Raw genomic sequence first — 12,680 nt, 5'->3', positions numbered from 1 at the left:
TTCAGAGTAGGGATGTTGAACCACTAAGTACAATGGAAATACAGCAAAATCCAAAAAAAATATGAAATCTGGTCCCAAGCATGTCAGATAAGACACACCCAACCTGCATTATGAAATGCTCAGAAGAGGCAAATCCATAGAGACAGAAAGTAGATGGTAGTTGCTTCGGGATGGGGGAGGCGGGGGTGGGAGTGACGGCTAATGGATACAGTTTCCATCTGGATGATGAACATGGTCTGGAGAATGGTAGTGAGGATCCCAAAACACTGTGAACAGGACTTGATGCCACGGAACCGTATACTTTAAAATGATTCAAGTGAGACACTGTGTGTGATGTGTATTTTACCACAATAAAAAAAAAAAAAAAAGAAGAAGGTGAAAAATAAATGTGAGGTGGATTATTCTGTCCTCCTTCCATGGCTCCCATGACCATGTGGCTCAAACCCAACTCTCCGCACCCCCTTGTCCCAACGGCCCCACCCAGCCTCATCTCCCACCCCTCTCACTTCCTCTCCACACCTGCCCCAACCGGTCTACACAGCCTGTGGGTTCCTGTGATGAGCCCTCCCACTCACACTACTCCCTCTGTCTAGACCCTTCTCTCACCCACACTCCCATCCCCCCCAAGCCTTCGTCTTCCTGTATCCTAATCATCCTCCAGGTCTCTGCCTGAATGTCCCTCCCTTCCGATGTCATCCATCAGTCCCCGTGCTCTCTGCCACCACGGCACCCTGCTCCCAGCCCCCTGCTCCCAGCCCCTCAGTTGTCACGATCAGTCTGATGCCTGTCCTTCCCGCTGGACGGTGAGCTCCAGGAGGGCAGGAATCAGGCCTACCTGGTCCCCATTGGATATTCAGCACCCACCCAGCCTGAAGGACCCTGCGGTCTCTTGGGAGACATGAACAGACAGCAGATGATCCTGCCCTCACCAGCCCCCCAAACTCTCCAAGCATTACAGTAGGGCTCAGGAGGAAAAAAGTAATGGACAAGAGACGAGCAGGAGACATCAGTGGGGATGGATCTGAATGGAGGGAGAGGGCTCAAGGCAAGGAGGAGGACCCAACAGGAAGCAGGGACTTTCTTTTTTTTTTTTTTGAGATGGAGTCTCGCCCTGTCGCCCAGGCTGGAGTGCCATGGTGCGATCTCAGCTCACTGCAACCTCTGCCTCCCGGGTTCAAACAATTCTCCTGTCTCAGCCTCCTGAGTAGCTGGGATTACAGGCGCCGACCACCATACCCAGCTATTTTTTGTATTTTTAGTAGAGACGGGGTTTCACCATGCTGGCCAGGCTGGTCTTGAACTCCTGATCTCGTGATCTGCCCGCCTTGGCCTCTCAAAGTGCTGCGATGACAGGCATGAGCTGCCACGCCCAGCCAAGGGACTTTCAATGTAAGAAGGGCTTTGTGGCCGGGCGCAGTGGCTCACGCCTGTAATCCCAACACTTGGGGAGGCCGAGGCGGGTGGATCACTTGAGGTCAGTAGTTCGAAACCAGCCTGGCCAACATGGTGAAACCCCAGCTCTACTAAGTTTACAAAAATTAGCCAGTTATGGTGGCGGGTGCCTGTAAAACTAGATACTTGGGAGGCCGAGGCAGGAAAATCACTTGAACCGGGGAGGCAGAGGTTGCAGTGAGCTGAGATCACGCCACTGCACTCCACCCTGAGTGACAAGAGCAAGACTCTGTCTCAAAAAAAAAAAAAAAGAAGGGCTTGGAGGTGGGGCCAAGCCAGGTGCATGCAGTGGGTAGGGCAGGAAGGAGGAGGCAAGGCCAGTGTCCATCCTGACCTTGCCACACCCTCCAGAGATAACAGAACCTCACTGAGCACTGGCCAGCGCCGGCCTCCGGGCTCAGCATGTCACACACCCCATCTCACTGATCGTCACAACCGTCACGGGAAGAGGGCACTATTATTACCCCATCACACGGATGAGAAAACCGGGGCCCAGCAAGCTGCAGCACCTTGCGCGTGCTCACGCAGCTACCAAGTGGCTAAGTGGGCTCTGGGGCCCAGGTTTGCCTGAGTCCACCGTGGGGCTCCTGGGCAGCAGGGATACCCAAATGCTTCCGGACAGGCCCACTGGGACAGGTGCATCAGAAGCAGAGAGCCAGGGTTGGCTGGCTTCCCTCATGGGCCCACAGGCTGCCGCCTCCTTCAGGGGAGAGGCTCCTGCTCCCTTCCTTAGTTAGGCTGATGAACCAGCAGGAACCAGCGAGAGAAACCCCTGCCCTAAATCAAGGGTGTTGGTTAGACCACCTAAGCCATGATCGGAAGGGGTGGTGGTTAGACCACCTAACCAACGCCCTTGCCTAGGTGATGCACCTTTCGAGTCAGCGATACGGCATACAGACAGGGGCTTCCGCAGCTCTGACCACCCTCCCTATGCCCTCTCCCACTCAGCCTCACCCACACCAAGGCTGCACCCACCAACCCAAGGACGACTCCTCATTTTCCACCGCCAGCCTGGGCTGAGCTCCAGATGCCACATCCCCGGGGGGGTCTCACAGGCACCTCGAACCCAATGTGTCCCTAAATGACCTCATCGTTTCCCCCAACCTGCTCCTCCTCCTAGGTTCTCTTGCAATTAAAGGCACAATGTGTTCCTGACTCCCCTTCCCTTATGCCTGACACCCAACCCCTTGCTACTCTAAGTGTGTCCCCGGCCGGCAACATAATGTCACCCAAAAGCAGACTCCAGGACCCAGCCCAGACCCACCTTTACGCATCTGCATTTCCAGAGGATGCCAGGTAACGCGTGTGTCCATGAAAGTGTATTAAGCACAGCTCTAACAACAAGCCTTTCACTCTGCCTCCTACACGTCTCTCAGCTCAGTCAATGCACCCCAATCCCCCTCCACCATCATCTCCAAGCCACTGACACCTTCCCAGCCAATCTCCAGGATCCCACTCTGGTCCCACTCCCAAACTGTCTCCCCCAGGAGCTACAGGGACCTTCCAAAATGTCAACCTGATCATATGAGCCCCCTATCTAAGGCCTTGAAATGGCTTCCTGTCACCCTCACCATGAGAACCAAATTTCAAGCATTCATTCACTAAAACCAAATTTCAGGCATTCATTTAATTCTCTGTCACCCAGGCTGAAGTACAGTGGCGCAATCTCAGTTCACTGCAACCTCCACCTCCCAGGTTCAAGCAATCCTCATGCCTCAGCCTCCTGAATAGCTGGGATTACAGGTGCCCGCCACCATACCCAGTTAATTTTTTGTGTTTTTTTAGTAGAGATGGGGTTTCACCATGTTGGCCAGGCTGGTCTTGAACTCCTGACCTCAGGTGATCCACGCGCTTTGGCCTCCCAAAGTGCTGGGATTACAGGTGTGAGCCACCACACCCGGCCAGGCAGGGAGATTTGTGAGCAGAGCAGAGATGTGATGTGTCCCACAGTTTCACAGGATCACTCTGGCTGCCTTACGGAGGACGGACTGTAAGGGGAAAAACATGGCCGCAGGGAGGCTGGCTGAAAGGTTCCTCAATAATCCAGGTGACAGCTGATGATGGACTGGCCTCAAAAGACCGTGGTGGAGATGGGAGATATGATCCGTCTCTGGATGCATCATGGAGGCAGCAACAGAGCATGCTGACAAGTGGACATGGGGAATAAGAACATAAACCAAGGCTGGGCACAGTGGCTCACGCCTGTAATTCCAGCACTTTGGGAGGCTGAGGCGGGTGCATCACCTGAGGTCAGGAGTTCGAGACCAGCCTGAGCAACATGGAGAAACCCCGTCTCTACTAAAAATACAAAAATTAGCTGGGTGTGGCAGCGCATGCCTGTAGTCCCAGCTACTCGGGAGGCTGAGGCAGGAGAATCGCTTGAACCCGGGAGGTGGAGGTTGCGGTGAGCCAAGATCACGCCACTGCACTCCAGCCTGGCAACAGAGCAAAACTCCGTCTCAAGAAAAAAAAAAAAAAAAAAGAACGTAAACCAAAAATAACATTCTAAGGCCCCCAACCAACTGATGACCCTTCCCCTCAGCCAAGGGCATTCCAAAGTTAGCCAGAAAAACTGGTTCAGGCCATGATGGGAAGGGGTGGTCGGACATGCCTCCTTATGCTCTCCTCGCCTTTGGAATTCAGCCCCAGCTGACCAGCATCAACATCAGCACAGGGACCTAAAGACTCATAGAACAGACTCCAGGTCTATAAGAAACATTTGCTATCTCATCTCTCGGAAACCTGCTACCTGGAGGCGTCACCCGCATGATGAAACCTTGGTCTCCACGGCTGCTTATCTTAACCCTGACATTCCTTTCTATGGATTCCAGGTCTTTAGATAAACTCACTCAATGAACTGCCAATCAGAAAATCTTTGAATCCACCTATGGACCCTCCAAAACCCCCGATTCTGGTTGTCCTAACCTTCCAGACCAAACCAATGGACATCTTACATGGATGGACTGATGTCTCACGTCTCCCTAAAATGTATAAAACCACCTGTAGCCCAACCACCTTGGGCACTTGTTCTCGGGATCTCCTGGGGCTACATTGGTCACTCTTATTTGGCTCAGAATAAATCTCTTCGAATATTTTACAGAGTTGGACTCTTTTCATCTATAAAAACAATGTAGCCAGGCGCGGTGGCTCATGCCTGTAATCCCAGCACTTTGAGAGGCCGAGGCAGGCAGCTCACAAGGTCAGGAGATCAAGACCATCCTGGCTAACACGGTGAAACCCCGTCTCTACTAAAAATACAAAAAATTAGCCGGGCGTGGGGGCGGGTGCCTGTAGTCCCAGCCACTCGGGAGGCTGAGGCAGGAGAATGGCGTGAACCCGGGGGGCGGAGATTGTGGTGAGCCGAGATCGCATCATTGCACTCCAGCCTGGGCGACAGAGCCAGATTCCATCTCAAAAAAAAAAACAAACAAACAAACAAAAAACAATGCAGAGAAGTCAAGCTGGGGAAGGCTACAGGAAGGATGACTTTGGCGGGGCAAGAATGAAGACCTGGAGTTGGGACACGTTCAGCTTGGAAGAACTATCGGATGTCCAAGCGGAGATCACCAAGGGAGACAGAGAAGAGGAAGGGGCCCAGGCACGACAGCAGGTGGAAGGCCAGCAGAGGAGGAGGATGAGACAGACAGGCGGCGAGACGGAGGGAAACCAGGAGGACAAGACATTCACTGTCGTGAGAAAAAAAGGCAATGTTGAATCTGAGAAATGCAATCCTCCTGTCACGGTCAGGCCCAGAGAGGCACTGAAAAGCAACAGCGGTCCCTCTCACCCGCTCCATGAGCTAAGTAATCACTTCTTGAAGCCACTTGCTACATGAGCCCTAAACTAACTGATGCCACATAGCCATACACTGGACGCCATCACTCAGACCCTAGAGCTCAACAACGCACAGCCAATGTTACCCCTGTAACCAGTTAGAATGCCCATCCAACAACTTCATATCACCCCACTCCCTGTCCCCTTTGCCTTTACAAACCTGCTTGTGGCCGGGTGCAGTGGCTCATGCCTGTAATCCCAGCACTTTGGGAGGCCGAGGCAGGCAGACCACCTGAGGTCAGGAGTTCGAGACCAGCCTGGCCAACATGGCAAGATCCCATCTCTACTAAAAACACAAAAATTCACCAGGCGTGGTGGTGCACGCCTGTAATCTCAGCTACTCCGGAGACTGAGGCAGGAGAATTGCTTGAACCCGGGAGGCAGGGGTTGCAGTGAGCCGAGATCGCACCATTGCACTCTAGCCTGGGCGTCAAGAGCAAGGCTACATCTCAAGAAACAAAACAAAACAAAAACTTGCTTTTAACAAATGTCGAAGGGCGCCGTCCCCAAGGTAATTTTGAAGCGTCCCTGGCAGCTGTCCTCAACTTTGGCCCGAGCAAACTCTCTATATTAATTTTCTCTCTGTTTCTTTCTCTAGGTCGACAGTCATGAGCAAAATGGAGACAGCCTTTTGAGAAGCGAGTATGAGGCTGTGTGAGGGATGCCAAACTGAGGGCAGAGGGTGACCACCGGGTCCAGAACCAGAGTGGCTGCTGGGCATTGGTGAGAAGCAGAGGCAGAACTTCAAGAACTTCTGCTATACAGGAGAGCAGAGAGCTCGCAAGCTAAACGTGGGGTTTCAAGGGTTTGGGGCTTTTCCTGGCTGGGTGGCTGCTCCTTTGTTTCCATGGGTGATGTAGCACCTACCGTCTCATTTCCTCCAGAATCCAGCCCCAGGCTGAGGCCTCTGACTGGTTCAGGCTGTTGACCTTGATCGGGTCCTTTCTCCCTCCCCCTTTTCCACCTCTTTCTCCTTTCCTCTCCACGTCATTCTTATGCACATACACTGAATACCTGCTTGAAATGAGGGTGCCAGAAATGCTCTTTGTAGATAGGTCATCTCAGCCCTGACTTTTACAAGCTTCCAATGCCTCCGTCAGCCCGGGGCCTCAGGTGAGGAGGACCTAAAAGCTTAACTCTCCACAGGAAAAGACCCAGACCTTACCCTAGATAAGAGCTATGAATTTTTCTGAAATTCCAACCATTCCTCCCTTGGAGTTTAGAGTGTTTTTAGTCTTCAAGAGTCCCCATTTAAATGCAAATGTCCAGTTGGCAGAGGGGAGAAAGGGGAGGGAGGGTGTACCCATTGTTCCCCAGGCACAGAGCTCAATCTTATGCCTCTTATTTAATCTGCAGAATACAGACTCTTTTATTATCCACACTTTACAAATGAGAAACTGATTCTTTGAGAAATCAGGTAACTTGTCCACAGTCAGAGAGCTAGAAAATGAGAAAGCCAGGCCAGGTGCAGTGGCTCATGCCTGTAATCCCAGCACTTTGGGAGGCTGAGACGGGTGGATCACCTGAGGTCGGGAGTTCAAGACCAGCCTGGCCAACATGGTGAAACCCGCCCCCCCCCACCGCGTCTCTACCAAAAATACAGAATTAGCCAGGCGTGGTGGCGCATGCCTGTAATCCCAGCTACTCGGGAGGCTGAGGCAGGAGAATCACTTGTACCCAGGAGGCGGAGGTTGCAGTGAGCTGAGATCGCGCCACTGCACTCCAGCCTGAGCAACAAGACTGGAACTCCATCTCAAAAATAAATAAATAAATAAATAATAAAGTATACAATTCAGTAGCATTAAGTACATTCACGATGTTATGTAACCACCACCACTAATTCCATAACTTTTTCATCACCCCAAAAGGAAACTGGTCTGTTGAGTTTTGAATGAGGAATACATTAGCAGGGCTCAAACGCCAAAATTATTAGAAGGCCTATTTTGTCTTATCCTTGTCCCAATCTGTCCACTTATTCAGCCTGTGAAATGATCTTTACACACCTTTCTGCAGCTGCTGCTGCTTTTTTTTTTTTTTTTTTTTTTTTTTTTTTTTTTTTTGAGACAGGGTCTCATTCTATTACCCTGGCTGGAGTGCAGTGGCAAAATCTCAGCTCATTGCAACCTCCGCCTCCTGGGCTCAGGCGATCCTCCCACCTCAGCCTCCCAAGTAGCTGGAACCACAGGCATGCCCCGCCCCAACCGGCTAATTTTTTTTTTTTTTTTTTTTGTATTTTTGGTAGAGATAGGGTTTCACCATGTTGCCCAGGCTGGTCTCGAACTCCTGAGCTCAAGCAATCTGCCCACCTCAGCCTCCCAAAGTGCTGGGATTACAGACATGAGCCACTGCACCCAGCCTACTGCAGCTTCTTTATGCAAATACAAGCCAACACAACACAAAGATGAAGTACTATTTTCCGTTTTTTTTTTTTTCAGACAAAGTCTCAGTCTGTCCCCTAGGCTGGAGTGCGGTGGCGCAATCTCAGCTCACTGCAACCTCCGCCCCTCGGGTTCAAGCGATTCTCATGCCTCAGCCTCCCAAGCAGCTGGGATTACAGACACCCACCACCGCACCCAGCTAATTTTTGTATTTTTACTAGAGTCCCACTTTTGGGAGGCTGAGGTTGGAGGATCGCTTGAGCCCAAGAGTTTGAGACCAGGCCTGGGCAACAAAGTGGGATCCAGTCTCTACAAAAACTTTGCCAGGCATGGTAGTGTGCACCTGTGAGGAGGCTGAGGCAGGAGGATCCCTTGAGCCCAGGAGGTCAAAGCTGCAGTGTTCACACCACTGCACTCTAGCCTGGGTGACAGAACAAAACTTTGTCTTTGTAAAAAAAAAAATCTAGGGAGAACTTTCCATCAAGTGTGAAAGTTGTCAGTATCAAAAACGGAGTGGCTTACATCAAACCCTAACAAAAGGAAGCCATGAAGAAAAGGCCCTCGCGCATGACTGCGGGTAACAGAAACTGCCGGGAAGGGCTGTCCCTGCTGGAACTTTCCAGTTAAGCCACTTCTGTGAAGACCCTCTCCTAGCAGCAGCCAATACCACCAAGAACAAAAGCCCCCTCCTGAGATAAGCCTCTGTAACCAACGGTCTTTGTTTCAAAGCAGCTTATATGACCTTCTTTTTCCTCTAAAAGCTTCCCCTTGTCCCACTCCCCTCGGATGTGCCTATGGTCCATCAGAGCATGGACACCTCAGATTGCAACCCCTTGCTATTCCCAAAGAAACTCTTTGTTTTGGAGAACTCGTCTTTCTGTCACTCATTTTAGGCTGATGCAGTTACACAGACAGCTTCACCTTTTTTTTTTTTTTTTTTTTTGAGACAGAGGCTCATTCTGTCATCCAAGCTGGAGTGCAATGGTGCAATCTCAGCTTACTGCAACCTCCACCTTCTGGGTTCAAGCGATTCTCCTGCCTCAGCCTCCCGAGTAGCTGGGATTACAGGCGTGCATCACCACACCCAGCTAATTTTTGTATTTTTAGTAGAGACCATGTTGGCTAGTCTGGTCTCGAATTCCTGGCCTCAGGTGATTCACCCACCTCAGCCTCCAAAAGCGCTGAGATTCCAGGCGTGAGCCACCACGCCTGGCCTCATCATTCTATTTTAAGTAGTTAGTCCATGGTATGAATGTGAAATAATTTAGGCAGCCAGTTCACTATGAATAGGGATTTGGTTGTTTCCAGTGTTTTGCTATTTCAAATAATATTGCCGTGAATGACCTCATTCTACGTCATTCCACGTGTGTGGAAAGATGCACATCTGACAGATCCCCAGAGGTGGCTCACTGGGTCAAGGAGGATAGCATGGATAATGGAGACAGCTACTGCCAAACTGTACTGCCCATGGGATGGTACCAATTGAACCCCAATGAAATCAGCATGAAGGTGAGGGTCCACGTGCTCACCCAACACGCCGTGCTGGCACCCCCGTGGCTGGCACCAACTCCAAAGCAGCTTTTGTCTATGGTGTTTGCTGGCCCTACCGCTGTTGCCTCTCCCTCCTCTGTAATGAAGCTCCCCACCTCTGCTTTAGGGAACTGCCCCTCTCCCGCTGGACAGGACTCTTGTAACACAACACCACTCTGACCAGAGTGCGCCCCTGACTCTCCCTGGGCCAATCATGGCTCCCCGCTCCCACCCCTGCACATAGGGACTGAGATGGACACACAATCCAGGCCAATCAGAACTCCTCCCTGGAATGTATCTAACCAGAGCTGTTGGAAAGGAGCTTTCCTTCCTCTCTGGGGGAAATTCAGCCATTAAAATGTTTAGCCCTTGGCTGGGCGCAGTGGCTCATGCCTGTAATCCCAGCACTGTGGGAGGCCGAGGTGGGTGGATCACCTGAGGTCAGGAGTTCAAGACCAGCCTGGCCAACATGGTGAAACCTCGTCTCTATTAAAAATACAAAAATTAGCCAGGTGTGGCGGCGCATGCCTGGAATTCCAGCTACTTGGGAAGCAGAGGCAGGAGAATCACTTGAACCCAGGAGGCGGAGGTTGCAGTAAGCCAAGATCGCACCACTGCACTCCAGCCTGGGTGACAAGAGTGAAACTCTGTCTCAAAAGAATAATAGTAATAATAAAATAAAATGAAACGTTTAGCCCACAAGGATCTACAACCATGGATCCAACATCATGGAGACAGATGGCCCAAGAGAATGAAGCCAACACAAAGAGACACAGTGACGAGACAGAGAGGAGTTCTGCCAATGCCCCTGGATCCAGCTGTTTCTGAGGCCCAACCCTTTCCACAGATGGGTTACCCCAGCCAATAAACCCCCTTATTTTGTTTGGCTAATTCAAGATGGGCCTCTGTCACTTGCCACCAAGGGTCTTGACTAATGTACTGTACCTAAAGTATAATCCCGCCTTTGTTACAATACAGAGAAACAGACGTAGATGCAGATGTAAGTATATTACGTGAAAGGGTGTGCTTTTGCATAGAAAAAAAAGACCACAAAAAAAATATTAAACGTTAATATCTCTACAGTCTCCCTTGTGGGACTGAAGGTGATTTTTATTTTAATCCTTGTGCTTTTCTGTGTTTTCCAAATTTTCTGCAAGGAACAAGGATTTTTAAAATATAATAAACATTTCTTTCAAAAACCAGATTGTCAGGCAGGGCACGGTGGCTCATGCCTGTAATCCCAGCACTTTGGGAGGACGAGGCAGGCAGATCACGAGGTCAAGAGTTTGAGACCAGCCTGGCCAACATAGTAAAACCCCGTATTTACTAAAAATACAAAAAAATTAGCCAGGTGTGGTGGTGGGCGCCTGTAATCCCAGCTACTCGGGAGGCTAAGGCAAGGAGAATCACTTGAACTTGGGAGGGAGGTTACAGTGAGCCGAGATTGCACCATTGCATTCCAGCCCGGGTGACAGTGCGAGACTCCATCTCCAAAAAAAAAAAAAAAGATTGTCAAGCAGCAGCACAGAGTGCACTCTGAGGAAGGTTCTGAGGCCATGCCGGGGTCAGGGGCCATACAGATTCCCACCCCTGAGGCCTGCTCTGCAGGTCAACGCACCCTGGAGTAGCTGCTGCCCATCTCAAAGCAGGCCAGCAGGTCACAGAGGGCATCCACATTGTGGTCACAAAACTCAAGCCCTCCACTCACGTGGCCCGGAGCCACGTTCCACCTGGGCCACTTGCTGACCCCCTATACGTCCCCGCTCACCAGATCAGCCTCCTAGGAGAGCGCCACAGGGTGCTGGCTGACGGCTGGCCATGAGCCCAAGACTGCAGGAAAGGGAAATGTCAGGATGAGAAGGGAGCTCGCAGAAGGTGGCCCAGCGCTGCCCGCACCTGCTCCCGGGACCTGACCTTCCCCAGCAACACGTGACCCTCAGTGGGGGTGTGAGCTTGGGCAGGACAGAGCCCTGAGGGACCTTCAACTTCAGAACGTGGGCTGTTGGGGAAGGGAGGGCTGCTGCTTCCCTGGAGTCCCCAAGGCACTTTGGTTCCCAACTCAGCTGAGCATTCACAGAGACCAGGCGAGAACCACCAGCCAGCCCACCCCATCTTCAACCAGAGGAACGCTTTTTCTATTGTACATATTAAGGTTTTGCATAAAGTTTGTTTAGGTTTTTTTTTTTTCATCATTTTACCCCTTTTTAAGTTTGCAATTCAGTGGCATTTACATCGTTGTACAACTAACCCCATTGTCCATTTCCAGAACTTTATCATCATCCCGAACAGGAACTTTGTACACATTCAACAAAAATTCTCTTTCCCTCCAACACCTGGCAACCTCTATTCTACTTTCTGCCCCTAGGAATTTGCCTATTCTAGGTGCCTCATATAAGCATACTATACACTATAAGAGTAGATAGACTATAGACTATATTTGTGCACCCCTTAAAATTTCTGTGTTGAAATCCTAACTAACACTGCCGTGGTATGAGGAAGAGGGGCCTTTGGGAGGTGATTGGGTCAGGAGGAGTGAAGCCCTCATGAATGGAATCAGTGCCTTGGAAAAGAGGCCCCTGAGAGCTCCCTTGCCCCTTCGCTATGTGAGAACATGGCGAGAAGACGGTTGTCTGTGATGCAGGATTTGAGCCCTCATGAGACACCCCATCTGCCAGTACCCTGAACTTGGACTTTCCAGCTTCCAGAAGTGGGAGAAGTAAATGTTGGTTTAAGCCACTCAGTCTATGGTATTTTGTGATAGCAGCTCAAACAGACACAGACAAAGTGGAATTAAACACTATCTGTTCTGGCCGGGCACAGTGGCTCACACCTGTAATCCCAGAATTTTGGGAGGCCAAGGCAGGCAGATCACCTGAGGTCAGGAGTTCGAGACCAGCCTGGCCAACATGGTGAGACCCTGTCTCTACTAAAAAATACAGAAATTAGACAGGCGTAGTGGCACATGCCTGTAATCCCAGCTACTCGAGAGGCTGAGGCAAGAGAATAGCTTGAACCTGGGAGGTGGAGCTTGCACTGAGCTGAGATCGTGCCACTGCACTCCAGCCTGGGTGACAGAGCAAGACTCCATCTCAAAAAAAAAAAAAAAAAAATTGCACCTGGTAGAGGAATTGCTAAATAAGATTTTTGCCTACACACATAAAAGACTTTCATTAGTCTTAGTCGCATTTCACACATGGGAAAGCCAAGGGCCGCAGTTTCGACACCATGTACGTTCAAGATCATATATCCCCCTGGGTTTTTCCTGAGGCCGCTCCTCTGCCCTTCTGCAGTCGTGTTTTTGCCATCTAGAGGTGCCTATCTCTAAGACCTCTGAGACTTCCTCTGGGCCTGGCCCTCCACCAGGGGGATGGATAGCAGAGAGCCAGCCCTTCTCTCAGCCAGGGCCTCGTAACCAAAAGCATCCACTGGCCAGACGTCTGGAAGGAGGGGCAATCTGTATTCAAGGAATCCGGACCTGCTGGGGTG

General features: G+C 50.9%; 1 protein-coding gene across 12 annotated transcripts in view, besides 4 other annotated features; it reads right to left on the bottom strand.

The window, feature by feature from the left end:
* RAP1GAP2 (RAP1 GTPase activating protein 2) overlaps positions 1–12,680 on the bottom strand; it is a 282,097-nt gene that overhangs the window by 156,921 nt on the left and 112,496 nt on the right. The window lies entirely within an intron of this gene.
* Positions 271–1,188: an enhancer, noted in NCBI's record as "H3K27ac-H3K4me1 hESC enhancer chr17:2782927-2783844 (GRCh37/hg19 assembly coordinates)". NCBI's record gives its function as "activates a minimal SCP1, AML or CMV promoter by ChIP-STARR-seq in naive H9 embryonic stem cells {active_cell/tissue: H9 hESC(naive)}" and the evidence as "EXISTENCE:reporter gene assay evidence [ECO:0000049][PMID:30033119]".
* Positions 4,220–4,974: an enhancer, noted in NCBI's record as "H3K27ac-H3K4me1 hESC enhancer chr17:2779141-2779895 (GRCh37/hg19 assembly coordinates)". NCBI's record gives its function as "activates a minimal SCP1, AML or CMV promoter by ChIP-STARR-seq in primed H9 embryonic stem cells {active_cell/tissue: H9 hESC(primed)}" and the evidence as "EXISTENCE:reporter gene assay evidence [ECO:0000049][PMID:30033119]".
* Positions 6,487–7,242: an enhancer, noted in NCBI's record as "OCT4-NANOG-H3K27ac-H3K4me1 hESC enhancer chr17:2776873-2777628 (GRCh37/hg19 assembly coordinates)". NCBI's record gives its function as "activates a minimal SCP1, AML or CMV promoter by ChIP-STARR-seq in naive H9 embryonic stem cells {active_cell/tissue: H9 hESC(naive)}" and the evidence as "EXISTENCE:reporter gene assay evidence [ECO:0000049][PMID:30033119]".
* Positions 7,998–8,753: an enhancer, noted in NCBI's record as "OCT4-NANOG-H3K27ac-H3K4me1 hESC enhancer chr17:2775362-2776117 (GRCh37/hg19 assembly coordinates)". NCBI's record gives its function as "activates a minimal SCP1, AML or CMV promoter by ChIP-STARR-seq in naive and primed H9 embryonic stem cells {active_cell/tissue: H9 hESC(naive and primed)}" and the evidence as "EXISTENCE:reporter gene assay evidence [ECO:0000049][PMID:30033119]".

Source organism: Homo sapiens, chromosome 17 (genome assembly GCF_000001405.40).
Source record: "Homo sapiens chromosome 17, GRCh38.p14 Primary Assembly".
Taxonomy (NCBI): Eukaryota; Metazoa; Chordata; class Mammalia; order Primates; family Hominidae; genus Homo; species Homo sapiens.
Note: the sequence above shows the minus strand (reverse complement) of the source record. Positions and strands in the feature narration are given on the sequence as shown.